The following is an 18324-nucleotide window of genomic DNA, read 5'->3' on the forward strand; positions in this document are numbered from 1 at the left end:
TCCTCCCAATACTATTCGGACCATCTCTGGGTACGGATACAGAGAAGTCTCAAGAATATATTACTAAGGGCAAAAATCAGGGTGTGGAAGGTATATACAGTTGGCTGCCTTCTCTGTAAGAAAGCAGGGTGAGAGGAAGGTGAATATGTATTCATATTTGCTTCAGTGACCAGAGGGTGAGATTTGAGAGATGTTGAAAGTAGGGGCCAGGCACGGTGGCTCACACCTGTAATCCCAGCATTTTGGGAGGCCGAGGTGGGTGGATCACCTGAGGTCAGGAGTTTGAGATCAGCCTGACCAACATGGCAAAACCCCGTCTCTACTAAAAATACAAAAAATTAGCCAGGCATGGTGGTGGGCACCTGTAATCCAAGCTACTTGGGAGGCTGAGGCAGGAGAATCGCTTGAACCCAGGAGGCGGAAGCTGCAGTGAGCTGAGATCATGCCATTGCACTCCAGCCTGGGTGACAGAGCAAGACTGGTCTCAGGAAAAAAAAAAAAGATAGTAGCATTGAGTGGCAGAGTCTATATGCTGTCTAATCCCAGCTGCTGGGAGGACGCTCAAGGGAGATGATCTTCAGTGGTGTTGGTGTGGATAGGAGCCAGCACTTGAATGGTACCATTAAATTCCAAATAGATCTGTGCTTTGTTAGAAGGGCTGTGAAGGGATGAGGAAAGAAAAAAGCACTGAGAAGCTCTCCTTCCCCAGTAAACTTTCATTTCCAATTCAGGAAGCCACTTGCGGTTCACAAAGACCAAAACTAATCTATCATATTTTCAAACCGAATATTTAACACTGTGCTGACTTCTCTGACATCACTAGGGGAGACAGAGATTATGTGTAAAGTGCCAAACTGGGTCAGGCAGTTCCTTGAGAACATCACTGCCCTTTCTCAAAGAAATTTCCTCGGTCTAAAATGTAGAGAATTGAATCAGATGGCTTTCATTCACATTTCTCTCAGAGGTTTTTAATTAAAGCTCCCAAGATTTTGGAAGGATTAAAGAAAACTTGTCAGCATGTAAAACATATCACTTTTTGGTAGGGAACATGAAATGATACAACCTTTATGGAGAAGTTGGCAATATCTAGCAAAAGTACATGTGGGTTACCTTTTGACCAATCAATCCTATTATAGGATCTATCCCAAGATACACACACAAAAATTTTTTAAAAGACATAGGCACAAGCTTCTCCATCATGTCACTATTTGCAATAGCAAAAGACTGGAGACAACCCAGATGTCCATCACCAGGGAATGGGTTGAGTAAAGGATCGCCCTCCTTCCTCTATACTGATGTGTAGAACACAGTGTCTGAGATTAGGCAGCCTGTAGGCTCTGATCTTCCTGTTCATCCCTACATTGGACATCCCTCAAATCTGGCCCCTCTGGTCACTGAAGCAAATACAAATATATATTCACCTTCCTCTCACCCTGCTTTCTTTCTTTCTTTTTTTTTTAAGACAGAGTCTCACACTGTCGCCCAGGCTGGAGTTCAATGGCACGATTTTGTCTCACTGCAACCTCCGCCTCCCAGGTTCAAGCAATTCTCCTGCCTCAGCCTCCCAAGTAACTGGGATTACTGATGCACACTGCCACACCCAGCTAATTTTTTTGTATTTTAGTAGAGTCGGGGCGTTGCCCAGACTGGTCTCGACCTCCTGAGCTCAGGCAATCCACCTGCCTCAGCCTCCCAAAGGGCTAGGATTACAGGCGTGAGCCACCACACCCAGCCATCACCCTGCTTTCTTACAGAGAAGATAGCCAGTTGTATACACATTCCACACCCTGATACGTAGAACACAGTATTCTATGTATCAATGACAGGGAAGGGGGACGATCTCCGTGTACTGCTATGGAATGATCTCCAGGGCGTACTATTAAATGAAAAAGCAGAGTGCAGAAAAAGCGGATGGCATGCTATCTATTATTTAAGAAATATACATGTACTTGCTTATACTTTTTTAAAAATGGAAGAATAAACCAATAAAAATATTTACCTGTATGTGTAGGTAGGAAATGGAAGAGTGGGTCAGAGGTAGAAGCTAGACTTCTCCAAATGTGTTTTGTTTTGTAGATTTGACTTTGGAAGCTTATAGATGTTTGTCTTAATTATAAAAAAATTAAATTCACATGGACAAAAGTAATCCCCAAAAATCAAGACTAAAGTGAAACAAACTTATGTATCAAGTTGGTGGTTTAACCACACAATTATTTCAGATAACTTGAAAACACAATTAATTTAATTATACATCCCTAGTGTATATCTTACCGTCAACGTGAATGCCAAATTAATCTTGAGCTGTTTTCAGTAATATTGTAAGTAAAAATGTTGATAGAACTGTACTGACACTAATATATATCCACACACACCCACATAAACATATGAGTATACATAATAAGAGCAATTATGTTGCAATCATTAGAAACCAAAATTTTCAGTATACAAAAACAGTGACAATTTTACCATCAAGATATTAAATGAAAATCCTGTAATTCTAAATTTGAATTGGAAATATTAGTAAGAACTCCTGATGTATTTTCTTTTAAACAAATAAAAAAATTTTTCTAACCTTGTCTACTGAACAGCCTAGAAATAATGACAAACCTAGTAGCAGTAAGCACCTGTAACATCCAGATTATGGCCTCTAAGTACATTTTTTCTGCTAAAAAGAAACTAAGAATCCTTAGAAAAATGTTGATTCCAGGCCTGGGGCAGAAAGTGTACAAGATGAGCTGGAATATCTTGTTGTATCAGAAAGCAAAGAAGCTATCAAAGACCACGGTGTCCTGTGAGAAGTACTCAGAAGCTAATTGAAGGGGCTCCCCCTGTCCAAATATTGAACAATTTGGGCATTAAAAATAATAACTATAGTGGATTTACATACATCAAATATATTAACATGTGCAAAATCTATAAGTTAAAAAAATTCAGTAGTTTCGGCCGGGCTTGGTGGCTCATGCCTGTAATCCCAGCACTTTGGGAGGCTGAGAGGGAGGAATCACCTGAGGTCAGGAGTTTGAGACCAGCCTGACCAACGTGGTGAAAACCCGTCTCTACTAAAAATACAAAAATTAGCTGGGTGTGGTGGCTAACCCCTGTAGTCCCAGCTACTCTGGAGATTGAGGCATGAGAATCGCTTGAACCTGGGAGGTGGAGGTTGCAGTGAGCCGAGATGGTGCCACTGCACTTTAGCCTGGGCAACAGAGTGAGACTCTGTCTCAAAAAAATTTTTTAAAAAAGAAAATAAATAAAAATAAAAAAATAAAAATTCAGTAGTTTCCACTATAGGGTGCTGGGGAACCAACTTTCATCCCCTTTGTCTTCCTCCTGTCCTCCTTCTTCAGTCTCTCTCTCTCTCTCTTTTTAGAGACAGGGTCCTTGCTCTGTTACCCAGGCTGGAGTGCAGTGGCACCATCATACCTCACTGTAACCTGGACCCCCTGGGCTCAAGCCATCCTCCCACCTCAGCCTCCTGAGTATCTGGGACTACAGGCACATGTCACCATGCCTGGCTACTTTTTTTTTTCTTTTGTAGAGATAGGCTCTTCCTATATTGCCCAAGCTTGTCTCAAGCTCCTGGCTTCGGTGATCTTCCCGCCTCAGCCTCGCAAAGTGTTGGATTACAGGCATGAGTCACCATGACCAGTCAGAAAATTCTTCATAGAAGAATGCCGTCTAATAAATACAGAAGGAATGAATATTAGCATTTTGCAACCCCTGGTGAATAATGAGTTTAGACAATGTGGTTGTTAATGGCTACTAAGCTGTTAGGTGCAGCTGATGGCGTTCTTTATAATGGAGGGATCAGGCTGATAATATTCAAACCCACTGATCGATCTTAATGTCTTGGCAGGCTTGAGATTTAACTACCAGTTTATAGAAAATACAAGGGATGCAGGAACATGTACAAATGATATCGGGCAGATGAATCAGGTAATCAGAAAATGGGACATGCTGCAGGCCTGGTTTCCTTAACAAATAAATTTTAAGAATCAAAATAGCAGGAGGGGTTATCTGTAGATTAAAAAGGACTTAAAATACTTATCAGCAAAATGTAGTATATAATTCTTGTTTGGGTCCTAGCTCAAAACAAATCTAACTGTAACATGTATACATGCATGCATATACATATATATGATAATCTATGATATATATGATAACTAAGATATTATATTTGAATAGTGAGGTTAAAGAATTATTTATTCATGTATTATTTATTTGATTATGTGAACATTAAAAAGAATATTATTTATTAGTTACTTATTTATAGCTGTGGTAATGGTATTTTGATTATGTTAAAATACAGAAGTTGGCTGGGTGTTGTGGCTCATGGTCGTCCAGCACTTTGGGAGGCCAAGATGGGCAGATCACTTGAATCCAGGGGTTCGAGACCAGCCTGGACAACATGGTGAAACTGTCTCTACAAATAATACAAAAAATTAGCCCAGTGTGATGGCACAAAGAAAGAAAGAGAGAGAGAGAGAGAGAGAGGGGAAGGAAGGAAGGAAGGAAAGAAAGAAAGCAGTTATACTCTAGGGTTGTATACTAAAGTATAGATTAAATATGATATGTCTGGGATTAGCTTCAAAATAATGAAGGGGGGTGCAAAATAAACAAGATTGGCCATAGATTGATAATTTTTGAAGCTGGGTGGTGAGTACATGGAAATCATTATATTATTCTCTCTACCTTTGTATAATTTGAAAGTTTCCGTAATAAAAAGTTAAACAGAACAAGACATCAGCTCAGCCACTTGGCCAGTTCTGTTTTCAGATGTCCTTAAATTTAATATTGGGCTGTGGAGCCGACAGACCCTTCTTAAAAATCACCTGGGGGCTGGGTGCAGTGGCTCATGCCTGTAATCTCAGCACTTTGGGAGGCTGAGGCAGGACGATTGCCTGAGGCCAATAGTTTGAGACTAGCCTGGGCAATATAGCCAGACCCCATGTCTACAGAAAGTTTTTAAAAAATTAGCTGGCTGTGGTGGTACATGCCTGTAGCCCCAGCTACTCAGGAGACTGAGGTAGGAGGATCATTTGAGCCCAGGAATTTGAGGCTGCAGTGAGCTATGATTATACCACTGCACTCCAGCCTGGGTGACAGAGAGAGACCCTGTCTCAGAAAAAAATAAAAAACAAAAATCACCTGGCCAGCAAGTAGGAGGCTGAGATCCTAACTCACATCTGTCTGGCTCCAAAGCTCACAGTCTTTCCATCTTACCTTACAGAATTTATGTCTCTCTTGGGGCTCAAACTATTGTAGGATTGTTTAGATTGAGGATTATAGGGTTTTACAAGCAGCTGTAATATAAACATGGGAAAATTGGGGCAAGGCAAATCAAGAACAAAAACTGCCACCAAAACATCAGAGTCGGTCTTCCTTTGAGGGCGGGAAATTTATCCAAGGATAAGGGAAGAAAATGGAAATAGACCGCATTCCTCCCACTGTGGCCTTATTGGGCCCTTTCTGTTGCCACCATCCTGGGCTTTGGATTGAGAGAGATCTGGGTTAGGTAGCACAGCCTGTTACTTAGGATGTGTGTGGTCTTACTGTTCTGTGCCACAGTTGTTTCAACCAACCTCATTTGGCTGTTGTGAGGATGACATGAGATTGTCCATATGATGCTTACCACAGTGCCTGGCAAGAGGTGAGGTCTCTGATGTTCATTTAGAAAAGAAGACTGCAGTGCATTCACCAAGATCCTAAGAATCCCAAGGCTGGGCCGGAGCTTATGTGTTTGGACATCCCTGTGACGTGGGTACCCCCACTGAACCCCATGATATTCTCCAGCACTTTCTTGGGGACCTTGGGCCACCTTGCCTAAGTTTGGGATGATCATTTAGCCTGAATGAGGAGGCTCAGTGCTCTAAGGATGGCATTTTTTCTACCTGGCTCCATTTTATTTTGTCATGTGGCTTGATGGGCATGGACAGTGGGGAAGATCCTGCCTCGGTGGGTGAATGAAAGGTAAGTAGCTAGATGACTAGAAGCCAGCTTGAACTTTGCCAGCTTTGAGATTGGAAGGAAAAGGTGAAATTGCCTGCTCTTCCTGAAGCAAGCACCACATTTTCTCTCCTTTCTACCTTGTTTGCCTCTTACAGCCAGAACCCAGCCCCCTTTTCATCACTAATCTCGTAACACACAGGGCTTCATCCTGGCAGTGTCGATCTTTTCATTAGCCCTTTAAGAATGACTGGCAAATGCACTTGTTTGAGTCATTTGATCACCTGGGAAGTGTCTGGGAGCCATGCCTTGGAGTGCCTCACTGATCACAAAGCCATCCAGTGTGGCCTTTGATTCCTGGGCCCCTGGTGTCCTGCTCACTTTACCCCCCATGCATGTGACCTGCCCACTTTCTGGGGCTTGGGTGTGAGTGAGTGGTGCAGGGAAGCTAAGCCAGAGGGAGCCCTGATTTACGAACTGTCCGGATTTAACTGAGGCTACAGCACTTTTATTAATAGAACATGCTGCATTTCCTTTTTATAAAAATATGAAGATCACTGCGCTCAGGAAAATGCCTGGTGACTTTCTGTCTTTAGGGCATGTTCATCACCAGGCTAAAATTAAAAGTGAAGTCAGGCCCTTCTTGCATCTATTTTTAACTAAGTTTAGCATATGAATGTGAACGTGAAGTCTTTCTTTAGATCCCCCTAACTCAATTACTGACGTATGCCAAGCATCCCGCCTGGAATTCCAGAGCTGTGTCTGGGGCTACCTTGGGTGGGGAGGCCAAAAGGGAATTAGGGACCACTAGCCTAGCCCCCTGCTATCTGACTGTGTGCGTCTTCACCCATCTCAGCTTCACTTACTTTGGAAGGTTAAGGTGCAGCCAGTCATAATACTGAAAAGCATAAAACAAGGGAAAAACTAACCAAACCAACCAACCTATGGCCATTTTGTGATGCGTAAAGTCTCCCCTAATTGGCACATATTTTTCTAGGGGGCTCCAATTTAGAAGCAGCGACTTGGGTTGAAGGGGAGACACTGGATTATAGGGGAGACCTTGTCATTCAAGCAGAAATTGCGAATGGCCCCAACATACCAAGGGAGACTTGGGACAACAGGTGGAGGGAGGGAGAGGAAAAAAAAAACTGAACAAGTGTCGTTCCTGCCCAGAGAGTTTGCGATGAGTGATGAGAGTGCCAGAGAAACCTTTTAGAAACCCTCTTAAATTCCCTCTTTGAAATCTTTTTCATGTCTGCTCTTTGAGGACTGTGAAGAGAGGGGAGGGTAGAGGCAGAGTTGATCCCAACTCTTAAGATTCTTTGGCCTAATGTTTCACTTGAAGGCAGAGACTGACGAAGTTCTTTTTTGAACTTCTTAGGACAGTTCCCTGTGGTTACTTTTTTAGTATAACAATTAAAAAAAAAAAAACCAAAAAACCTACTGATCATTTTAAGTCCTGGCCCTTGCTTTGTTTTGTTTGAAAAGTGACTTTTAAAATGGTGACTTTTATGGAAAACATATTTACAGTTTGTTAAAGTTGTGTCATTTCTCTTTGCATGTTTACATGTATGTGTATTTAACTTAGTTGTCTTGAACCTCATAAAGGTGTTGTGGTTTTTAAGCAGAGGAAAATCTTCCTTCGTTTTTTCTGGAATAGCAGCAAAGCCATGATGGAGAATAAGCAGAAGATTAATTTAAAATACTGGTTACTTTGGCTAATCCACTGACGGTGAGCTTGCTTATGGCTGGAGAACTATGAAAGTGTTTCCAGATAGCCTGAGAGGGAAGCACTGGGAAGGAGTGTGGCAAGTCTGTATGCGTGTGGCGGGGTAGGGGGGACAGGGTTGTCTTTTGGGGAATAGGAATGATATTTAAACGACCAGCTCCTCCATGTATTATTTGGATTTTCTGTTAAAAGCAATAAACTTGAAGTAAGACGTGTTTACAGGCCACTACAATCTATCTGAAAAGCCTCTTATGGTTTTTTGCCTCCCATTCAAAAACCACTTACGTGATTGTATGTGCCTTTCAACAAAACTTTGGATTCAATTACAACACTTGTAGGCTCAGAAGATTGCTTTCAAATCTGAAAACTTTGCACCTTCACTTGGTTACAGTACTTTTTAAAAAATGGAGATACGGTCTTGCTGTGTTGCTCAGACTGGTGTCCAAACCCTGGGCTCAAGCGGTCCTCCAGCTTTGGCCTCCCAAAGTGTTGGGATTACAGGCATGAGCCACTGTATCTGGCCTGGTTGTAGTACATTTCAAGGGACTGGCTTTCCCAGCCAAACTGACATTTTTGGGTCTGTCCAGTTAGTAAAAGGTAGGGATTGGGGTGGCAAGAGTTGTACATTGACACAGTTCTTAAGCACACAGTGACTAAAAGGTACTCTACTGGCTTTTGGAGAAGGCTTAGAACTTGGTCAATCGACAAACTCCTGATTAAAGGTTGCTGAATTAAAAATAATATGCCATTTCTTTGAAACCATTCGATTTCACCCTATTTAGTTGTTCCAGAAATGTTTGCTTTGGTTTTAACCATGACCCAACTTTATTTAGTAAGTCTAATAATTCATCTCTTTGAAACCTTTTAGTTTCCACCTTATTTTTTTTTTGAAGAGTGATTTTTTTAGATGGTGATTTTTGTGTGAAATAATATTTACAGTTTGTTAAAGTGGTATCATCTCTCTTTGCACGTTTACATGAATGTGTATTCAATGCATGTTGTCTTGAGTTGAGAATTTTTGTCTTGATTTTTCCTTGCTTCAACTTGATTTCCTAGGGAGTCTAAAAGTTTCACACCTTGGAGTTTTAGAGTAGATTCAAGAAATGATCTAGCTCACTCTTGTCTCTTTCCCAGGGACTGTTGGTTGATATCTGGCACAGACAGATAGGAAGTGAAGAATGTGGCACATCCTTAGACTGCCCGTTGGTGAGATCTGAAACTAAGTTTCTCATGACTGGACTGTATTTCTTTAGCTGCTGGGTGTGAAAAGCCCCAGACATTGGCTTCTGCTTCTTTCACCATCATTATGATTTGTGGGCATTGATGCTAGGCCTGGAATCCCTGCAGCATTCATCTCTGCTGGGGTTCTCTAATACAGCGGCTGAGAACGGTGCTAATTCCAGCTGCCAGCATGATCCTCCTTCCCTGGCAAGAGGGAGCCCCGCTCAGAGAACATTTAAATACCGTAGAACCATCCCTGTTACAGGTTTCCTTTGGGATGCTCTTGACGCAGGAAATATGGCTTATTCTCATAAATACTTTGAGATGTACTTCAGTTTCTCCAAACTTTATGCATAACAACACGACTGTAACAACAAAAAGGGAAATTCTTGAAAGAAAAAATATTAGCAGTAATCTCTTTGTCAGATTGTTATTTTTCTCTTTTGTGTTCCTTCCTTTTATTTTTGGTCATGTGCATATATTTTAAAGTATCACACATGGTTTTACATTCTATTTTCCTGTTAACATTATGATGTAAAAAGACTTTTCTTGCAGTTGCATCCTCTTCATAATTTAATTTTTCATGATGGCATTGGCGCTGCCAAAGAAAGTCACTTTCCCATGCCAGGAGAAAAGACCATCTCTCCTGTGGCTGCCTCGAAGCCCCCAGGCCTAGAAACGTCTCCAATCAGGAAACAGAAGCCTCCAGTGGATCATCTTCAGGGATCGCTGGAGAACCACGTGGGCATGTACACATACCTCCTCACTGAGCTGACTTACCCAAAGTTATTATTCACCTACTGATGGACAATGATGGTTCTAGTTTTTCTGTCTTATCAATACTATAGTAATGGCTTTCTTCATGCATGTCATTTTGGAATATTTTCTCAGAATGGGATTATTATTTCTAAGCGTATGAATATTTTTATTGCTTTTGATATATTAGCCACATTGCTTTACAATAAAGTTGTACCTGTTTAAAAAGTTAGCAGTAACATAGGAGGATATTGGTCTCACAATAACTAAGCGGAACCACTCTGCCCAGCTTTGAATTCCAGCTTGACACTTGGCATTTACCAGCTGTGTGAACTTCTGCAAAGTATTTAACCTACCTGTGCCTCAGTTACTGCCTCTTTAAAGTGGGAGTGACACAGTACCCACCTCATAGGTCTATTATTGGGAATGAGTATTTGTATATTGCTCAGAACAGTGTCTACCAAAGTATTATGCATTGTGCGCTCGTGAAACAAACACCTCTCCAGCTCAAGATTTTTTTTAAAAAACTAATTTAATAGAAGTAAAATGACACTGTTTAAGATATATATATATATGTATATATATCGACATGCTTATTAACCGTATTTACAAGAAACACTCCCTTTAAATCTCTTTATTGGTAAAGATATCTTTTAAAATGTTAATTTACAGAAGAGATCCATTCTGGTGTGATTATTGATATTATGTAGGAATTCTTTTTCAGCTTTTACAGAGTTGCTATCCCTTTAGGGTGGAGTCTCATCACCAAAATATCACCTGGGACCCGAGGTGCTGAGGCTCATAATCAGCCACTTAGCTCTGAAGACTTCAAATTCACCCCAGAGGGACAAACTTAGGGGGTATTTTAGGGCCCTATTAGGGACTCTTCTTCCTATCTTGTCCGATGACGGCTCTCGGAGGCTCCTGGTTTTGATGTCTGGCATTGCTTTTACCCGGTGGGCTTCAGGGAGCCGTCCCTGCCGCGCTTTGCGTTTCTCCGCGCACTTGGACAGGGTTCTGCCACGAGGGAGGCGATGCCTGGCGCCGCGGGTGGGGGCAGTGGTGAGACTTCGGCCCCTGGTGGCCGGAGAGGTCGCAGCACTTGTCAGTTTATGGCTCCCTCGGCTTTCCCCTTCTTAATCCGCTTTCTGCTGAGCTCTCCGAATAATTCAACCCTCGTGTTTGAAAACTAGAAGCCTGAGAGGTCTCAGCGAGACAGTCAAAGGGGAGGCTCCCCTCGCCGAGTGTCACCCGGGACCCTGCGTCCCCGCTCTGCAGAGACCTTCTCTCCGGGCTGCTGCCGTCCTCCCTCGCCCGGCGGAGCTTCCGTGATCGTCAGCCAAAGCCCCCGGGGCGGTGCGCCGCAGGCGGTCTTCCCGGGTGTTCGCGGAAGCTGCGCGCTCGCGCCCCCACGGTTCTCCAGCGACCCCTGAAGATGCTTCCGTCCGCGGATAGGGGACGTTTCAGACCTGGGGTGGGCACAGCGGTCCCCGGTGAGATGGTCTTTTCTCCTGGAGTGGGAAGGCAACTTTCTTTTGGAGTGCCAGTGCCCCCAGAGTGCTAGGTTGTACCGTGGACTTGTACTTGAGTTTTTCAAATAAAGCTTGACACATACTTAGTATAGAGCAGTAGAAAGCAGGGAGGAAAAACTCGTCATGGGTCCACTATCTAAAATCAACTGATATTTGGAATAGTTCCTTTGCTTTTTTGTCTATACATACGTTAGATTTATTTTTTCTAGTTTTTAATTGTACTATGAAGCTCAACTTTGAACTTTGCATTTTTTCTCTTATTATTATTTTACAAACATACATACTGGCTGCATAATATTCTGTCATGCCATATACAGCCACTCTACTTTTGAATATTTAGGTGTTTTTTTATTTTCATTAAAAAATTCTGCAGTAAACATCTTTCTGGCTAAAACTTGTTTCCGTATTAGGTTATAGTCTCATTATCATAGGGCAGAGTGAGAATGTTTTTAAGGTTCTTGATACATATTCCTGAATGGCTTTTCTTTCTTTTTTCTTTTTTCTTTTTTTTTCCTTTTTTCTGAGACGGAGTCTTGTTCTGTTGCCCAGGCTGGAGTACCATGGTGCAATCTCAGCTCACAGCAACCTCTGCTTCTTGGGTTCGAGCAATTCTCCTGCCTCAGCTTCCCAAGTAGCTGGGATTACAGGCACACACCACCATGCCTGGCTAATTTTTTTATTTTTAGTAGAGACAGGGTTTCACTATGTTGGCCAGGCTGGTCTCAAACTCCTGACCTCGTGATCCACCCAGCTCGGCCTCCCAAAGTGCTGGGATCACAGGCGTGAGCCACCATGCCCAGCATCCAAATGGCTTTTCAAAAAATTTGTATAAATGTTTACTCCTGCTAGCTGTGCTTAAGTGTTTATTTCCGGCCAGCCTCACCAGCACCAGGAATTATGAGAATACTCTTAAGATAATGTCACTAAGGCCACAGGCGAGGAGAGCTTAGAAGGTACTGGCTGCTGAAGTCTGTGTGATCTGAAACCTAGATGTATATTCTGCAATCTGCTTGTTTCCAACTCCCCACATTCTGAGGACAGTGGCCTATATTGAAACTGGAGGAATGAGGTTTACTTGTGTTTCAGGGATTGAAGTGGTACTAGAGGTTGTGTTGGATTGCTAAGTTCAGAGAGCCATCAGAAATTGTTATGAGCTTGAGTCACATAAAAATGGAATATCCTTTACTGTGGGTGGCATAGCTTTTTAGGGTTGGCTTCCTAAACATTTTGGGGAGAATGAATCTACCAGCAGAGAAGCTTTCCTTTGGCAGTCTGAGGGTGTATCTTCCTGAGGCAAGGCCAGACTTGAGGATATTCTAATCCTCCTTCCTGCATTTTTATATTGCAATTTCTTGCCAAACTTGCTGCCTGAAGAGAGACGATATCTCTTTAAGGGTGCATTTTAGTTCATTTGTGTGTCAGGTGGGTGGGAAGTAATATAAAACTCATTTATGGCTACTCAGTCTGCAAACATATTGGAAGGAAGGGCTGGGCTTTAATATCTGTGTAGGATGGAAGTCATTTTTGAGTTATAGTCAATTCTTATGTTCTGTAAAATCCATTAGAAAACCTGTACCCGTATCAGTTCACATATTCTGCACCTGGCTCTCCTGTTCATGGGGAATTGCTTACAACAGGGAACTCTTAAAACCAAGACTGCTGTTTTTGCCCCACTACTTTCAGGTTAGAGCAGGATTCCAGTGTCCTGAAGTTTAAACACATTCTGAGCATCCTCTGAGAATCATTCCCAATTCCAAGCCCATTTCCAGACGATGAGCAGACTTGAATTACATAACCTGTAGCTGCACATTTTTGTCGTGACCACGCAAGCTCAATAATGTCTCCCAAGTCTTGTAGATCACTTTGAAGCTCACTGGATTAATGGTGTTGAATCTGTTTAATCCAAATAATTTGAATTGCATCAGGAAACCTGCATATTAACAAGCTGGTAATAAGTGCAGGCGTTAAGATTGATCACTGCTTAAGTCTTCAAGATCACATACAAGGTCTGGTGTTTTTGAGGCTGTCGATGTACTATATTTTTTAGATTCTTTCTTGATTTCATTCTGCACTCTTGACATTTAAAATAATTTAAATCAATAACTTCAGAATTCTCCCACCGGAGGATATGCCTATTTGATGTGATTGTGTGTCTGTGTGTGTGCACACACTAGCTCTGTATTATTGCCTATGGAGGACATAGAAATATATCATATACTGTCCTCAAGGAGCTTGCAACCAAGTTGTGGGGATAAGGCAAACAAAGTCAAAATATCTAATACACGTTCCAAGGCAGGATGCAATTCTGTATCCATGGTACATTGCTGATTGCTGATGATGCTCTAAATGCTGACTCTAAATGGTGGACTGCAATTTGTCTGGAAGAAGAACAATGGATCATCTGTGTTTGGGGGAGACTTCATGGAGGTGGGATTTGGGGGAGCCTTGAAGAAGTGAGCAAGTTTTGGATAGGTGGAAGTGAACTTACTGGCTATACCCGGAAAAGAGCAGGATGGGAATAAAGGAAAAGAGAGCCTGTTTTGGTGAATAAGTTTAATATTGAATTGTGATAGTCAAAAAAATAGGTAGGATGATGGGCTAGGTTTGGGAGGAGGCTCCAAAGTTAAGAAGCGAGGCTTATCCTTGAGATCATGGCCTTTACCACAACCAGCACCATCATCATTATGAGCAGCTGTGTCTTGCATTCTTATAATGTGGTTCTGAGGACTTTACATGTAGTATCTTATTTAATCCCCAAACAACCTTATGGAACAGATAACAATTGTTATGTCCACTTTATAGCAGAGGAACTGGGATATAAAGAAGTCAACCAACTTCCAGCGGGTAAGGTATGTGGGCAAGCAGGGGTTCAGATGAACTGAATCAGGCAGCTTGCTTTCAGAGTCTGTTCTTCACCACTGTATAATACTGTCTCTTGGTGCTTGTTGAAAGCCCCTGTTGAGATTAACATAGTCCCCCTCAAGTTCTAAGGGAGCCCCGCCTTTCAAGTCAGACAGACCTGGGCTCACATTCTGGCTCTACCACTTACCAGCTGTGACCTTGGAAATTACTTCTCTGAGCCTTGATTTGCTCATTTATGAAAAAGGAAGAATATTTACCTCAGGTTGTTGGGAGCATTAAATGTGATAATATATATAATCATTTAGCAGAATGCCTAGCAGAGAGTAAGCAGGCAGGAAATGATAGCTGCTATGGCTTATATTTCACAGATATATGTAGGGTTATAATGCAGTCTCTGAGAATGAGAAGCAGTGAGGGTGGACATGATTTAGGTAGAGTTTACTTGGTAGTCACCTGCAATGATAATTAGCTAACGGATAGTGGGCGCTGGATTTCTTCTTCTGGAGCATCCCAGGAATGGACTATGAATTCCAGATGTGGTTCTGCTTTGCTCCAAGAACTGACTGCATTTCCTTTTGTCTTCTAAAACCCAGAGGGTGAAACCAGGACATTTCCATTGTACTGAAATTTGGCATAAAATCTGGTGCCAATTGTACATCCCAGGGGCTGAAATCAGGATATGCTGAAATTCCCAGTGTCCTCGCTCTGCTGGTTCCCACTTCCTGACGGCGCTGACAGATAAGTGCCCTGCATCTCACAGAGAGAGAAAAATAGATATTTGGAAGTGGTATCTTTTATTGCCTATAAAGTTAAACAATGCACGAAACAATTATAACCAAGGCAGAGACGTTTAGACAACATGCATAAAAGGAAAAAAACAGTGGAAGAGAAACTTTGCTCTAAGATGAAATGCTAATTCTAACTATCGCTCTCAGAATTTATGGGGCAACATCACTTAGTACTTCTTACACTTGCGTTCCTGCACATTTCAAACTGTTCATATGGTAGTTTTTCTTCTGTATGACATTCTGCAATTGTAGAGTTTTTCTTTATATTACTTCATTCACAAATTTCAAAATTCACAAAGTGTCTATCAATTAGGAAGAACAACTTCTTGTACTTTTCTGATTTGCAGTCTCCTTGGTTGTGACAAACCTATTTGTTCTTGTCCCTGTATCGTTGATATAATCCAACTTGGCTTCTTTGGAAGCAACAAATGCTATTTTTTTTGCTTCAAATCCAATATTGGTTTTTAAATTTGTGGATGCAAGAGGCTATAAAGAGGTTTAAAATATATGTAGCTTGAAAATATTAATGTTTTTAAAAAATCTCAGAGTCACTTTAGAATTTTAAAATTTTCAAGTAAGGCTGCAATCAGATAGATACTTGTAGACTGTCTTAGGCTGTTTTCTGTTGCTTTTAACAGAATTCCTAAAACAGGATAATTTTTAAAGAAACCAAAATTTATTTATTATAGTTATGGGGGCTGAGAAGTCCAAGGTCAAGGGGCTGCATCTGGTAAGGGCCTTCTTGCTGGTGGGAACTCTGTAGAATCCCGAGGTGGCATAGGGTATCACATGGTGGAGGAGGCTAAGCGTGCTAGCTCAGGCCTCTCTCCTCTTATAAAGCCACCAGTCCCACTCTCATAATAACCCATTAATCCATTAACTATGAATATGTTAACCTATAAATGGATTAATCCAGAGCCCTTATGACCCAGTCACCTCTTAAAGGCCCTATCTTTTTTTCTTTTTTCTTTTTTTTTTTGAGACACAGTCTAGCTCTGTCACCAAGGCTGGAGTACAGTGGCTCCATCTCTGCTCACTGCAAGCTCTGCCTCCTGGGTTCACGCCATTCTCCTGCCGCAGCCTCCCGAGTAGCTGGGACTACGGGTGCCCACCACCACGCCCAGCTAATTTTTTGTATTTTTAGTAGAGATGGGGTTTCACCGTGTTAGCCAGGATGGTCCCTATCTCCTGACCTCGTGATCTGCCTGCCTTGGCCTCCCAAAGTGCTGGGATTACAGGCGTGAGCCACCGCGCCCAGCCAAAGGCCTCATCTTAAAGGGGACAAATATTCAAACCATAGCACAGAACTATTTGGTGCTAAATGGTATTTTGGGAAAACTGGAGTGTTACATATTGTTTAATTTTTCCAAATTTCTGATAAAACGGAAGATCTTAGATAGTTGGTGTGTTCGATGGGCATGTATCTCATGTTACTTGTCTTCATGTTGTAGACATCTCTCTAAAAATAATGATACCAACCAGGCTGGTAAAATGGCTTTCTGAATTGTTTTACTCGAGTCAGAGGGGATTTGCACCCTCTAGATGTTGCTCCTTCACAGCTTAACCCTCGGGGAACTTCATTTTTAATTCATTCAACTGAAAGAAGTATTTACTGAACACCTATTATGTGCTAGGTGCTGTCTTAGGTGCTGAGTGATGAATGGAATAGGTAATTCTTATGGATGGAGCTTCCTGTCTAGTGAGGAAAACTAACATAAACCAAAAAAATAGGTAACTATAAAACATAAACTGGGATAAATAATATTAAGGAAAAGAAAGGATTTCTTTCAACCTTATCTTTCTTATAGACAATGTGGGGAAATAGAGCTATGGGAGTACTCAAAAGTTTATCCACACAAAACAAATCCCTATAAAAACCTAACCAAAGAGCAAAGATTAAATGTAATTATGCAAAAAAATGTTTAGGTGTCAAGGCATTTAAATACATTACTTTGCCATTAAGTGGCTATGAGGGTGTCACTAAATGGAATTCTGTTTCAAGACGTACTTGAGCTCATAGCATGTTGAGACCATGATCTTCTCATAATTTGGTTCACTTTGATTAAAGCAGCATCATGCCCACTGCAGCATCATCAGAGAAAGGATCTCCTGAGTTAAGGACACCCATGGAAAGCATCCTATTGTGTGATTTCTCCCTTATTGTTCATTTCTGGGAAGGTACAGTTTGGTTTTGGAAAGCACTCTTGAGTGTGCAAGGCCGGGGGAGTCTGGGGTCTACTCTTCATCCTGCCACCCACTCCCTTGATCAATGAACTTGGCTTCTCTGAGACTTGGAGATTTGGTTTCCACATCTGGAATATAAAGGTGTTGAGCCTGATGACCTTGAAAGATTTTTCTAGGTCTAAATTTTATTACAGAAGCAGTGGGCAATAGGAGAATGTTTGGTGGTAGATTCACTTCATATCTAATGAAGATGTGACATTTTCATGATATGCTGCAGTAGAGGGAGCACTGGTCCAGGAGTCTGAAAGTTCAAGCTCAGCAATACAGAGACTTTTGGAATGACTTGGTTTATGTTCATTCAGGCCTGGAGCACAGATGGGTTCATGCTTTGCTGCAACCCACACTTGGAGATAAAGAGGCTCTGCAGTGGTTTAATATGCAGGTTCTCGGTTCAAATCCAGGATACTCTGCTGAGGAGCCATGGAGACCTGGGCAGGAAACTTGGCCTCCTGGAGCCTCAGGCTTGAATATATGAAATGGAGCCTCTGCTTCTTATTTATAAGTACTCCTGTCTTCCTCCCAAGGTTGGCACTAGGATGAAGGCTGTATAAAGTGATTAGCACAGTATCTGGCACATAGTAAGTACCCAATAAATGCTCATTGTCCTTTTTCTTCTTTTTTTTATTTTTAATTTTTTTTAGAGATAGAGTCTTGCTCTGTTGCCCAAGTTGGAATGCAGTGGTGTGATCATAGCTCACTGCGGCCTTGAACGCCTCGGCTCAAGTGATCCTCTTGCCTCAGCCTCACGAGTAGCTGGGACTATAGGCACGAGCCACCATGCCCAGCTAATTTTTATTTTTTGTAGAGACAGGGTCTCACTATGTTGCCCAGGTGATCTCAAACTAGTGGCCTCAAGCAATCCTCCTGCCTCACCCTCCTAAAGCACTGGGATTAGAGGCATGAGCCACCGTGCCCAGCCTCTTCTTGTTAATAATTATCATAGTTCCTGTTATTGCAGTTCTTAAGCTGGGCACATCATGTAAGCCCCTATGTTTTGGTTTCCTGCTTATGGTGTCTGCCTCATGGGGTTGTTTTGAAAATCAGGTGTGACTTTATGCAAGGGCTTTGCGAGCCCCTGGATCCTCTCTGAAGGGCTGGGCAGGCAAAGCCACAGGCTGGCAGTCTGTCTGTCTGCAGCGTGGCTGTTTCCTGAGAGAGGGCTTGGCTGAGGGCTGGGAGGCAGGTCCGCCTTCCTCTAGCCCTGATGGACTGGGGCACATGCAGACGCACTTCCCAGCCAGGCAGA

General features: G+C 42.2%; 1 protein-coding gene across 2 annotated transcripts in view, besides 2 other annotated features; it reads left to right on the top strand.

Annotated features, from left to right (window-relative positions):
- RBM20 (RNA binding motif protein 20) overlaps nt 1-18324 on the top strand; it is a 196224-nt gene that overhangs the window by 18279 nt on the left and 159621 nt on the right. The window lies entirely within an intron of this gene.
- Nucleotides 3448-3742: an enhancer, noted in NCBI's record as "tiled region #1411; K562 Activating DNase unmatched - State 5:Enh". NCBI's record gives its function as "activates a minimal TATA promoter and a strong SV40 promoter by Sharpr-MPRA in K562 cells {active_cell/tissue: K562}" and the evidence as "EXISTENCE:reporter gene assay evidence [ECO:0000049][PMID:27701403]".
- Nucleotides 10983-11272: an enhancer, noted in NCBI's record as "active region_4041". NCBI's record gives its function as "activates an Ori minimal core promoter by ATAC-STARR-seq in GM12878 lymphoblastoid cells {active_cell/tissue: GM12878}" and the evidence as "EXISTENCE:reporter gene assay evidence [ECO:0000049][PMID:35858748]".

The sequence above is a fragment of the Homo sapiens genome, chromosome 10, assembly GCF_000001405.40.
Source record: "Homo sapiens chromosome 10, GRCh38.p14 Primary Assembly".
NCBI classification, from domain to species: Eukaryota; Metazoa; Chordata; class Mammalia; order Primates; family Hominidae; genus Homo; species Homo sapiens.